This window comes from Homo sapiens, chromosome 12 (assembly GCF_000001405.40).
Source record: "Homo sapiens chromosome 12, GRCh38.p14 Primary Assembly".
NCBI classification, from domain to species: domain Eukaryota; kingdom Metazoa; phylum Chordata; class Mammalia; order Primates; family Hominidae; genus Homo; species Homo sapiens.
In genome coordinates, this window is record NC_000012.12 from 114,575,624 (window position 1) to 114,589,750 (window position 14,127).

A 14,127-nucleotide genomic window follows, 5' to 3' on the forward strand; every position below is an offset into this window, starting at 1 on the left:
AGTGTTTATGTGCCTTGGTTCTTCTCAAGTTCCTCTCCCAAGCATTTAAGCTCTCCAAAGTCTGTGAAGAGGATTCAGCATTTGATTTTGCAAACACCAGGACTTCAGATGCTCAGATAGAAAAGGAATGGTGTCTCAGAGGTCAATGCAATTAATATGCACTTCATAACACCTCATGCCTACACATTTCTTACAGCCATTATGACTGCCGGTTAGAACATGAATTATGGTTTAAGCCTAGTGTTGTGAGGAAGACAGATCATTTTTCCCCAAGGTAAGATTTCTGCTCTAATTTCTTTCCTTTGGTGCCTCTGAGTTATCACCCTCTTCCTCCACGTGTGCCAGCTCTGTTTGGACTTTCCTCTTTGTCCTTCACCTCCCTGTTTTCCCTTCCTCCAAATGCCCTGAAAGGCAAACTTGAAAGAAATTAACAAGTACTCAAGAGCTTAGAGATGCCTGCCTCCCTTTTATTTTAATTTTATTTTTTATTTTTTTGAGACAGAGTCTTGCCTATCGCCCAAGCTGGAGTCCAGTGGTGCGATCTTGGCTCACTACAACTGTTATGAGTTTGCAATTTGCCTAAATTTGGATGGGTTTCACCATTGGCTCCCAAAGGCAGGAATTATTGTATATATATATGTGTGTGTGTGTGTGTGTGCGTGTGTGTGTGTGTATACAGGCAGAATACACACAGAAAATATATATATATTTATATATATATTTTATATATATTATATAGTTTACATATATTATATATATTATATATATTTTATATATTATATATTTTATATATTATATATATTTTATATATTATATAACATATATTATATATATTTTATATATTATATATTATATAACATATATTATATATATTTTATATATTATATATTATATATTATATTTTTTATATATTATATATTATATGTTATATATTATATTATATATTATATGTTATATATTATATATAATATTATATATATCATATATTGTATATTATATATTATATATTATATATTACATATTACATATTATATATATTTTATATATTTTATATATTATATATTATATATATTTTTATATATTATATATATAATATATATTAGAGAGAGAGAGAGAGAGACGGAGTTTTGTTCTTGTTGCTCAGGCTGGAGTGCAATGGCGTGATCTCGGCCCACTGTAACCTCTGCCTCCCGGGTTCAAGAGATTCTCCTGCCTCAGCCTCTCGAGTGGCTGGGATTTCAGGCGCCCACCACCGCGCCCAGCTTTTTTTTTGTATTTTTAGTAGAGACGGAGTTTCACCATGTTGGTCAGGCTGGCCTAGAACTCCTGACCTCAGGTGATCCACCTGCCTTGGCCTCCCAAACTGCTGGAATTACAGGCATGAGCCACCATGTCCAGCTTGTTGTCTTTAAATTTATTGCCCTATTTTCAGTGCTTATATGCTTGTCACATTGTAGGCACTTAATATTTATTACATGAATTTGTTAAATAAATTTACCAAAAACGTGTAGTTTTGAAAGAATGCATCGGATGTGAAAGAGACACTTTCTTACAAAGATACCAAATCATTTCTCAACCATTTATATTTGAGCACATATTCTATGCCAGGAATTTTAAATGATAGAGCAATAAATGAACTCAGTCTAGTACAATTAAGACTATATATTTTAGCACTCTATTTCATATGTTAACCTTGATGCAGGGCAGGCCAGCCCCAGACTGGAGCTCAGCCCTGGTGGGTTCTTTGCTTCGCCCAGGAAAGAATCCAAGGGCAAGCCAGTGGTAGAAGAAAAGAGCTTTATTGAAACAGCAGTGTTATAGCCTAGGCTGGGTTATAGCTCTGTCACTTCTCCTGCAGAGCAGGGCCACCCTGTAGGCAGCGTGCTGAGACTAGCAGCTCAGTAGTTCTATAGTCATACCTACGTTTAATTACATGCAGATTAAGGAGTGGATTATGCAGAAATGTCTAGAAAAAGGGTAATAATGTCTAGGGTGTTGAGTTATTGGCATGGAAAGAACGGTAACTCCTGGATGTTCCCATGGCAATGGTAAACGGAAATGCCACCCTCGTGGGTGTGTCTTATGGAAAGCTGCTTCTGCTCCATTCCTGTTTTAGCTAGTCCTCAATTTGGTCCCGTGTCTGAACCCTGCCTCCAGAATCGAGTCCACCTCTTACATCATCCTCATTTAACTTAATATAATTATTCTAATCTGCTCCTTCCAAGTCATTCCTCAAGGTGGGAATGACTTTCCCCGTGCCTTTTTTCCTTCACATGGGGAAACTGTGACTCTGAGGGACTGTCCCCTACCAGTAAGTGGCAGAGGCCTCCACCCAGGTATTTAGAGACCAGGCAAGTGACAGGGACTAATTTAGAGCTTTGCTTAAATATTGGAGCCCCATATACGGCTGGTTCCTTCCCGTATTTGAACACATGCAAATTGTGATTGTTAACTTTATGTGTCTACTGGACTGGGTGGAGGGGTGCCCAGACACCTGCTCAAACATTATGTCTGGATGTGTGTGGTGAGAGTGTTTCTGAAAAAGACTGGCATTTGAATTGTTGAACTGAGTAAAAAAGATTCACCCATCAGTCATGCACCATCCAATCTGATGAGGGCGTAAATAGAACAGAAAGGTGGAGGAAGGGAGAATTTGCTTTCTCTGCTTGAGGTGGGACATCCATCTTCTCCTGCCCTCAGACATTGGAACTCTTGGTTCTTGGGCCTTCAGACTCTGGGACTTACACCAGCAAACCCCTCTGCCCTCCACCTTGTTCTCAGGTCTTCAGCCTTAGAGTGGGGGTTATGTCATCAGCTTCCCAAGCCTTGAGACTTGGACTGAATTTCACCACCAGCTTTCCTGGTTCTCCAGCTTGCAGACAGCATATTGTGTGATTTCTCGGCCTTCATAATCACATGGCAAATCCCCTGTTATGTATCTATCTATATCATATGAGTTCTGTTTCTCTGGAGAACCCTGTATACTCTCAATGCACCCTCATGGAATTATCACGCAGATACCAACTGAACATCCACTAAAGTGTTAGGTGCTTCATGGAAATTCATAGATAAGTAAGACATGACCTGTGCTCCCAAAAAGCTTACAGACGAGTAGTGAACCTGACAGACTCAAAGTCAAATTTGCTACAAAGACAGGATCAATGTGGAGGGGAAAGTGGATGTAGCTTGGTGTTTGTAAACAATATCTTTAAGATGGGACAGCTCTGTGACTTTAGGTGAGAAGCTCAACCTCTCTGAACCTCAGGAAAGTGGACTTATTAATGATGCATAACCCCTATGGATCGTTGAGATTATTATGTCACCCACTACACAAGCTGATGCAAGTGGCACACTTAACACAGCATCAGCCATACTTATAAGCTCCTGATAACTGGTATTAGAAGTAGTTTGGAGAAAAAAGCCCTCTCTTTTTTTTTTCTATCAGCAAACCTAGTGTGTATTAGATTGAACTACATATAAACTTGCTGCTTTTGTAGCTTAAAAGCATTCAAATGTCAAAAATTTCATACGGTTCAACCTAATCAGATTATTTACTGGGAGGAATTGACAGACAAGTCCATAAACAGGGAGCGAACTGTCTTAAAACTCAGGAAAACCGGGTGCCCTGATTTGCTGTGACCATTTGGCTTAGTGTCCCCTGGACTGGTCACTACCCTGCCTCCCTCTCTGAAACCTCCCTCTCTGCTCAACTGGTGAGTTCCCACTGCAAAACTTCAAGAAAGGAAATACCAGTAGCTGTAAGAGTGTCACAACTTGGTTTTATGTGGCAGTAACCAACCCCTAGCCAATTGTAGAGTTTGGCTAGGAGTATACTCCACACCTTGTTAAAAAAAAATCATATAGCAACTTCTGTGGGAATTCATTGTACAGCAGTTGCTACTTAGGAGGACCACTTGCTGACAGGGCAGGGAGGTTGGGCTTTTAAAAGCAAGTTGCAGTAAGAGGTTGGTTTCTAATTGACCAGCAAGTATCCTACTGAGGTCAAAGAACAGATGTTGGCAAAGAAGGTACCTGGGGTGGAGAATGGGAAAGGAAGTGACGCACTGTTTGCTAAAACTTTAAGATGCATAAAGGTTTATTTTCTCATCTTGGCTTTCCCTGGTTCACTGTGTGATAGGAACAAGTTGTTTCCCCTACTTGAGCCTTTATTTTCTCTTTTTCATAGTGGAGCTAAAAAGTAAAATAGCTACCACAAAGGGCTGTTGGAAGAATTAATTAAAATAATGTGTGTAAATTACATGGCACATTCGTGGTTAATATCAGTTTTCCAGTGTCTGATGTGTGCCAAGAACCATGCCAGGAACTTTACATGTATTTTTTCAATTAATTCTCGCAGCAGCTCTATGAGTTGAACACACTTATGTCCATTCTGCAAGAAGAAACTGCATTCAGGCTGGGTGCAGTGGCTTATACCTATAATCTCAGCACTGTGGGAGGCGAAGGTGGGGGGATTGCTTGAACCCAGGCATTTGAGACCAGCCTCAGCAACAGAGACCCCCATGTCTACAAAAAAAAGTTAAAAATTGGGAGGCTGAGGTGGAAGGATCACTTGAGCCCAGGAAGTTGATGCTGCAGTGAGCTGTGATCACACCAGTGCATTCCAGCCTGGGTGATAGAGCAAGACCCTGTCTCTTAAAAAATAAAAAATAAACTGCATTCAGAAAGGTTAAGCCACCTATTGGAAGTCATACAGCAAAAAAAAAAAAAAAAAAAGCAACAACTAACAACTAGAATTTGAATCATAAAGGAAGATTTGGATTTGGATAACTTGGAGGGTTAACAGAAATTGCTGTTTGGTTGTCTCTTTAAATCCCAGTTCCAATTCAGCGACACTTGGCAAATATTTATCATGCCCAGACTCATTGCCAGGTGCTCTGTTAGGTGAATGCAACATGATCTCACGCTCACCTGTTGGAACTTCCAGTGATTTGTGACTAAAATTTTTAAAAAGTTAAAGACAGCACCTAAATGAAAATAATCTTGAGGGATGTCTCAATGTATTTCCATAGCTACATGAGAGAGCTTCTGGAACATTCTAGGAAGGGAGTGTCTGGTGGCCTCTGCCACCCACCTGCTCCCTATAGACAGATAAGAACAACTCTCTGGGCTAGTGGAGAGACGTGTGAGTTTCAATTAGCTCACTTTTATAGAACATATTTTCAGAGGTGTACTTTTTGACACAAGTGGGGGTGCCCCCCCATGTGCAAGTACAGACCCCAGGCTTTGGGCAGTCATTAAGGGAGGAAGCATTGCCCAATGCAGGCACTAAAACAGGCAGAGACACACAGGCTAATTCTCCTGCCCTGACCCCCGCTTCTCGCACCTGGAAAATTATAACCTAGAAACAACTGGCTCGTTAGTTGTGGGGAACCACCCACAGGCTGAAACAGCTTCCTATGCCCAAGGCTGACCAGTCACCCCCTCTTTACCCAGCCCTCACCCCCAAGCAAAGAAGGAGACTAGCTGACTCTGAACTTTCTTTTAGGTGTCTGAAGCTAAGATACACCCTTCTAGCATTAGGAAGAAAGACCATTTCCCTCACCACCTGTATTAGTCCGTTTTCACACTGCTGTAAAGAACTGCCTGAGGCTGAGCCCGGTAGCTCACACTTGTAATCCCAGCACTTTGGGAGGCCAAGGTAGGCAGATCACATGAGGCCAGGAGTTCCAGAACAGCCTGGCCAACATGGCAAAACCCCATCTGTACTAAAAATACAAAAATTAGCCAGGCATGGTGGCTGTAATCCCAGTTACTTAGGAAGCTGAGACACCAGCACTGTCTCAGGAACCACCCGAAACTGGGTAATTTATAAAGGAAAGAGACTTAATTGACTCACAGTTCAGCATGGCTGGGGAGGCCCCAGGAAATTTACAATCATGGCAGAAGGCGAAAGGGAAGCAGGTACCTTCTTCACAAAGTGGCAGGAAGGAGAAAGCAAACAAGCAAAGTGGGGAAGAGCTCCTTATAAAACCAACAGATCTCTTGAGAACTTACTCACTATCAGGAGAACAGCATGGGGGAAACCACCTCCATAATCCAAACACCTCCCACCAGGTCCCGCCCTTAACACTTAGTGATTATGGGGATTACAATTTGAGATGAGATTTGGGTGGGGACACAGAGCCAAACCGTATCACCACCCAAAGATATCAACCGTTAGAATGCTACCACTTCTAGGTTTCTATGTTTTCTTTTTAATTTTGCAATGCATATTTTCATAAGTCATTATCTTTTTTTCTTTCAAGATTGGATAGTCTTTCATAAAGATAGCATCTCTGTTTCTGATTATTAAACATTACACTCATCCCCACTAACAATGACAAAACATCCATTAAAATGATGTGATACTATTTGGGGCCCTACAATATTAACAGCAAACACTTAAATTCTTTATATTACTATATTGAGTATGTTCTCTGCACTCTACACTGAACAAAAGGACTTACTTAATCCATACAACTCTATGATATGACTTTTACTATTATACCTGACTTACTGGTGAGAAAACTGAGGACAAGGTGATACGATACATCCAATACATGACAGAGCTGGGATTTGAACCCAGGGAATCTGCCTCCAGACATCATGCTGTCAACTAGGATTAGACTATCTCTCAGATTGGCAAATTTAAACTAGTGATGATAACTAGGGTTGATGGGGGTATGGAGAGACAGACCTTCATGAATGCAGATGAGAGGACAAAGTGATAGAAATCTGTGCAGGGCAGGACAGGGGCAGTAGCTCACGCCTATAATACCAGCACTTTGGGAGGCTGAGCAGGGGGTGGATCTTTCAAGTTCAGAAGTTTAAGACCAGCCTGGGCAACATGGTAAAGCTCCAACTCTACAAACAGTACCAAAAAAAAAAAAAAAAATTAGCCAGGCATGGTGGTGTATTCCTGTAGTCTCAGCTACCCAGGAGGCTGAGGAGGGAGGATTACTTGAGCCTGGGAGGTCGAGGCTGCAGTGAGCTGAGATCCTGCTACTGCCCTCCACCCTGGACAACAGAGTGAGACCCAGTCTCCAAAAAAAAAAGAAAAGAAATTTTTGGAGGGCAATTTGGGAGAATTTATAAAAAATGTATACATTTGTTTCACCTAGCAACTTTGCATTTTAGATTCAACATCTAGATCATAGATATCCACCAAAAAATACACACACACTGTCAAGGTTCACTGCAGCATAGTCTGTATAGGGAAACTTTGAATAATTAAATTAGTGAATATATGCCATGAAAAATTGATGGCTAAATCTTGACAAACGTATCAAAACAAAGAACTCAGGTATAAAGAAAAGGACTGATGCTCAGTGCTGTGCCCATTTAAAAACAAAATTAAGATTAAAGAACTGTGCTAAGAGTAGATATTAAGTGTTCTCACTTCAAATAAAAGATAAGTATGTGAGGTAACACATATGTTAATAATTAACCTGATCCACAATATATACATATTTTAAAACATCATGTTGCACATCATAAAGAGATATAATTTGTATGTATCAATTAAAACTTTAAGAAGAGCTATGAAGATCATGATTACAAAAATAGAATATTCATGTTACGAACATTGACAAAATAAAACAATATAACTAAGAAGTCAGGATGGAGGGAGGGAAAGTGAGAAGTAATAAAGAATACTCATTTCTTAATCTTTTCAGGGATTCAAACCGTCAAATATTGCAATTCGTCCTATTTATTTACTTATTTATTTATATTTGAGAGACAAGGTCTTGACCTGTTGCCCAGGCTGGAGTGCAGTGGTGCAAACATGTCTCACTGCAGCCTCAACACCTGGCTCAAGCCATCCTTTGGCCCCAGCCCCCTGAGGAGCTAGGACTATAGGCATGTGCCACCACCCCTGGCTAATTTTTTTATTTTTATTTTTATTTTTATTTTTATAGAGATGGGGGTCTCTATGTTGCCTAGCCTGGTTTCAAACCCCTGGCCTCAAGTAATCCTCCCGCCTTGGTCTCCCACAGTGCTGGGATTACAGGTGTGGGCTACTATACCCATCCTGAAGTTTGTTTTAAACATGACTCTAAGAACTCAATATTTTTCATGACCTTATTGTCTTATGTAGATTTTTTAAAGAAAAGACTATCTCTTGTGGTAAAGGAAATTGTACTAAATTTCTTCCCTTTTCTTTCTTTTCCTCCTGTCTAAGGAATTAATTCTTTTTCTTTAATTAATTAAATAAAACATATTTAATGTTTTGTATTGAAAAATTGCCCATCATGCTCAGATTGTGGTCTCCAAATACTAATTTACACTGAAAGGAACCAAGGCTTCTTGGCTAAATGACTGATTACCAGTTGGGGGAAGGAAATGGATGGGCAAGGGGTATATTTTTATACCAAAAGGCTGGGAAGCTGTTAAAAACTCCTGAGGTCTGGACAAAGGACTCAGAAGCTGATAGGATAGGCTCTCACTGGCTAAAAGTGAGAGAATTTGAGCATAAATAAGCGTAACACATTGAAATACATCAAATAGGTTTGAACTCAATAGTTCATAATGATACTCAAGAATTCACTAATTACTTTTAGGGGATGCTAGGAAACCAACTCATTATTTTAAAAATTGGAAAATAATTGAACATTTACCCTGCTTTTCCTGTAAGACCAGCACCTTAGGGTGATAAAAGAGTGTATGTTCATGACAAGCCAGAGCTACACAGTGAAATCACTGTCTGTACAAAAAATACAAAAATTAGCGAGGTGTGGTGGCATATGCCTGCAGTTCCAGCTACTTGGGAGGCTCAGGTGGGAGGATTGCTTGAGCCCAGGAATTCGAGGCTGCAGTAAGCCATGATTGCACCACTGCAATCCAGCCTGGGTGACCAAGTGAGAATCGTTCTCTCTAAAAAAAAAAAAAAAAAAAAGTACATGTACATGAACGGAAGTTTCTCTTCACAGAAGTATTCTACACAATTAATGAAGATGCAGTAGTACAATTAGAATATCACCATTTTGCACCCTATGAACTAATGAGTTTTGGCACTGATGGTCAGTGTCCACTAACATCACAAAAGATACACAAGCAGGTATAATGTACCTTCTAATGGAAGGACAGACACCACCTGGTAAGTAGTTTTGCAAACAAAAACAAAAATTGGACTTGAATCTGATCAAGCCCCTAGACTTAACTATCAATTCATAAAACACATAGGGGCAAAATGATAGCACAGAGATTCAGTCAGGAAAGCCCAGACTGGGGAAAACTCTATAGGACAAAAAGAAAATAACACAATAAATACAAATAAATGCAATCGGATCTCTATTTAGGTCTACATCTCTGTATCTAGCTATAGATAAATACAGAGCTATAGAAACAGATACCAAGAGTCTATAGATCAAAAGTGTTTTGAGAGATATATTAACCAAAAACAACATCTGACTTTTATTTGGATCTTGATTCAAACAGGTTGTTAAAGAATAAAAAAGCATTTAGAATTTTTTTTTTCTTGAGACAGGGTGTTGCTCTGCTGCCCAGCCTGGAGTGCAGTGGCACAATCATAGCTCACTGCAGCTTTGGCCTCCCGGGCTCAAGCGATCCTCTCGCCTCAGCCTCCCAAAAGGCTGGGATTACAGGTGTGAGCCACGATGCCCAGCTGCATTTAAGAAAATTTAAGAATTGGTTAGATACTTGATGTTGTTAAGGAATTATTATGGTAATGACACTGTGGTTAGGAGGGATAGCATTAGGAGATATACCTAATGCTAAATGACGAGTTAAAGGGTGCAGTACACGAACATGGCACATGTATACATACGTAACAAACCTGCACATTGTGCACATGTACCCTAAAACTTAAAGTATAATAATAATAAAATAAAATAAAAAAATAAAAGAGTTAGATCTAGCTTTTGGATTCATTGCAGAAAATAAATAAATAAATGAGTTCTAGAGCAGCGGTCCCCAACCTTTTTGGCACCAGGAACTGGTTTTGTAGAAGACAATTTTTCAATGGATAGGGCAGGGTAGTGGGGGTGGTGGATATGGTTTCAGGATGATTCAAGTGCATTATATTTCTTGTGCACTTTATTTCAATTATTATTATGTTGTAATATATAATGAAATAATTATACAACTCACCATAATGTAGAATCAATGAAAGCCCTGAGCTTGTTTTCCAGCAACTAGATGGTTCCATCTATGGGTGATGGGAGACAGTGACAGATCATCAGGCATTAGATTTTCATAAGGAGCACGCAAGCTATATCCTTTGCATGCACAGTTCACACTATGGTTTGTGCTCCTATGAGAATCTAATGCAGGCTGGGCACAGTGGCTCACGCCTGTAATCCCAACACTTTGGGAGGCTGAGGTGGGCAGATCACCTGAGGTCAGGAGTTTGAGACCAGCCTGGCCAACATGGTGAAACCCTGTCTCCACTAAACACAAAAAATTAGCTGGGCATTGTGGCACACACCTGTAATCCCAGCTACTCAAGGGGCTGAGGCAGGAGAATTGCTTGAACCTGGGAGGTGGAGATGGCAGTGAGCCGAGATCGCACCACTGCACACCAGCCTGGGTGACAGAGCAAGACTCTGTCTCAAAAAAAAAAAAAAAAAATCTAATGCAGCCACTGACCTGACAAGAGGCAGAGTCAGGTGGTAAGGCGAGTGATGGCGAGCAGGTGAAAATACAGATGAAGCTTCGTTTGCTCACCCTCTGCTCACTTCCTGCTGTGTGGCCCGTTTTCTAACAGGCCACGGACAGGAACCAGTTCATGGTCCAGGGACTGGGGACCCCTATTCTAGAGGATTTTTAAGGCAGCAAAACTTCTGATTATGATACTATAAGGTGAATACATGTTGTTACACATTTGTCCAAACCCAATAGAATGTACAACACCAAGAGTGATCTTAAAGCCTTTATTTTAAAAATGAGTTCTTATCTTTTAGAGATATATACTAAGATATTAAGCATAAAAATAATATGACATGTGGGATTTGCTTCAAAATATTTAAAGGAGGAGAGGCTGGAAGTATTAATAAAACAAGATGGCCATGAGTTGGTAAGGTGGATGATGAATAAATGGGGATTTATTTAGCTATTTTCTTTATCTTTGCTTATGCTTGAAATATTTTATAGTAACAAGTTTTAAAATTATACAGAGAATGAGGCCAGGTGCGGTGGCTCATGCCTGAAATCCTAACACTTTTGGAGGCCGAGGCAGGTGAATTAATTGAGGTCAGGAGTTTGAGACTGGCCAACATGGTGAAACCCCGTCTCTACTAAAAAGATGAAAACTTAGCCAGGCATGGTGGTGTGCACCTGTAATCCCAGCTACTCGGGAGGCTGAGGCAGGAAAACCACTTGAACCTAGGAGGCAAAGGTTGTAGTGAGCCAAGATCATGCCACCACACTCCAGCCTGGGCCACAGAGTGAGACTCTGTCTCAGAAAAATAAATAAATAAATAAAGATAAATTTAAATATATATACATATAGAGAATGACTTCATTTATATAAAATTAGTCTATTTATCAGCTAGCCATGGCAGCTCACACCTGTAATCTCAGCCCTTTAGGAGGCTGAGGCAGGAGGATCACTTGAGCCCAAGAGTCAGAGACAAGCCTGGGCAACATAGTGAGACCCCATCTTTACTAAAAATAAAAATAATTTAAAAATTAGCCTGGCATGGTGGCAAAAAAAATTAGTTTATCTATCTATACACCCATACACATACTCACACAGACACACACGCACGAATGTTTTATAATTGTATACATGTACATATACATGCATTGCTGACTGTCTTCCCATTCCTGAGCCTCATCACTCATTCCTGACACCCCATTCCATCTCAAAATGCCAAGCATCTGTAGGAACACTCAGACATAAGTCTAAAGAGGTAGGCAAGAACCGGATGACAAATACAGGAGTGTTTGCCTTGCTAAAGAGTTTGAACTTTATCCAGATGTCCATGAAGATCCAATGAAGGACTAGCAGCCTTAGTGGCTGACTTTGAGAACAGAGGAAATAGGGTGGTAAATTGGGGGCAGTTGAGGAAGAGAAGACTCTGCAATCTGAGAACAAGTTACGGCAAAAAGCGTTCCTGGGGTAGTCCCACAAGAGGGACTCAAAGTTCATTTAGAACTGGCCTTAACAGAAACCCCAGAACAAAGGTCAGCTCATTCTTGCTCATTTTCTCTGTGGCAAACTCCAGCTGGTGCTCTCAGAGGGAAGAGACTTGTAAAAATTAAAAATGAAGGGTGTTGAATCCAGCAGTTCCACTCTAAGTATATGCCCAAAAGAACTGAAAGCAGGACTTGAAGAGGCATTTATACATTTATATTCATAGCAGCATTATTCACAATAGCCAAAAGTGGAAGGAAGCCAAGTGTTCCCCAGTGGGTAAGTGGATAAACAAGATGTAGTATATCCATACAATGAAATAACATTGAGAGCCAAGGGTGGGTGCCAGTCCTTGAAGGCACACGACAGCAAACCAGACAAAAAGTAACTCTGAGGTGCTTGGAGTGCCAGGTAGCAGGCAAGCAGTGGGCTTTTCAGCGTCGTCTTTAGAATATGCAGCTCAAGGAAGTGAGATGTCAAAGCTGCCACCCAAACCGGTCAAACCAGCGTAAGATAAAGTCTTCAGAGCCCTCTATACTTTTGAACCCAGAACTCCAGATGAACTATGCTTTGAGAAAGGTGATATCATCTACGTTACTGACATGAATGATGCAAATTGGTGGAAAGGCACCTCCAAAGGCAGGACTGGACTAACTCCAAGCAACTATGTGGCCGAGCAGGCAGAATCCATTGACAATCTATTGCATGAAGTAGCAAAAAGAGGCAACTTGAGTTGGTTGCGAGAGTGTTTGGACAACCGAGTGGGTGTTAATGGCTTAGACAAGGCTGGAAGCACTGCCTTAGACTAGGCTTGTCATGGGGATCTCAGAGATATAGTGGAAATGCTATTTACTCAACGGAGTATTTAACTGAGCCAACAGAACAAGTTGGGAGACACAGCTTTACATGCTGCTGCCTGGAAGGGTTATGCAGATATTGTCCAGTTGCTTCTGGCAAAAGGTGCCAGAACAGACTGAAGAAACAATGAGAAGAAGCTGGCTTTGGGCATGGCTACCAATGCCCATGCGTCTCTCCTGAAAAAGAAACAGGAGACAGATGCAGTTCGAACATTAAGCAATGCTCTTGCTATTCCAAAACTTTTGTCTGCCAGAAGAGGGTTGGTAATCACTTTTTTAAAGTACATATGAACATGGCAGTGTTGCACTGTGTTTGAGTAGAGCAGGTAGAGGAAGGGTTCTCACCCACAGGAAGGGGAACATCACACACTGGGGCCTGTCGTGGGGTGGGGGGAAGGGGAAGGGATAGCATTAGGATATATACCTAATGTAAATGATGAGTTAATGGGTGCAGCACACCAACATGGCACATGTTTACATATGTAACAAACCTGCACATTGTGCACATGTACCCTAGAACTTACAGTATAATAAAAAAAAAAAAAAGGAAGGGTTCTCACCTTTGGTTTACCAATAAGTGACTGGTTTCAAACATTAAGGAATGCTCTTGCTATTCCAAAACTTCGTCTGCCAGAAGAGGGTTGGTAATTATTTTTTTAAGTAGATATGAACATGGCAGTGTTGCACTGTGTTTGAGTAGAAGAGGTAAATGAAGGGTTCTCACCTTTGGTTTGCCAGTGAATGACTGGGTTTTTTACTGTATAAAATGCATTGTTCACCAGAGTAGAACAAGAAGAGATGATTTCTATTTATCAAACTAAAGGAATTTTATAATTTTTTTTCTTTAAAAAAAATCAGGGCTGGGCGCAGTGGCTCATGCCTGTAATCTCAGCACTTTGGGAGGCCGAGGCAGGTGGATCATGAGGTCAGGAATTCGAGACCAGCCTGACCAACATGGTGAAACCCCATCTCTACTAGAAAATACAAAAATTAGCTGAATGTGGTGGTGCACACCCTGTAATCCCTACTGGGGAGGCAGAGGCAGGAGAATCACTTGAACCCAGGAGGTGGAGTTTGCAGTGAGCCAAGATTGCGCCATTGCACTCCAGCCTGGGAGACAGAGCAAGACTCCGTCTTGCAAAAAAAAAAAAAAAAAAAATCAGGATGGTTTTT

The 14,127-nt window shown here is 40.7% G+C and overlaps 1 pseudogene; it reads left to right on the plus strand.

Annotated features, from left to right (window-relative positions):
- OSTF1P1 (osteoclast stimulating factor 1 pseudogene 1) lies at positions 12,428–13,300 on the plus strand (annotated as a pseudogene).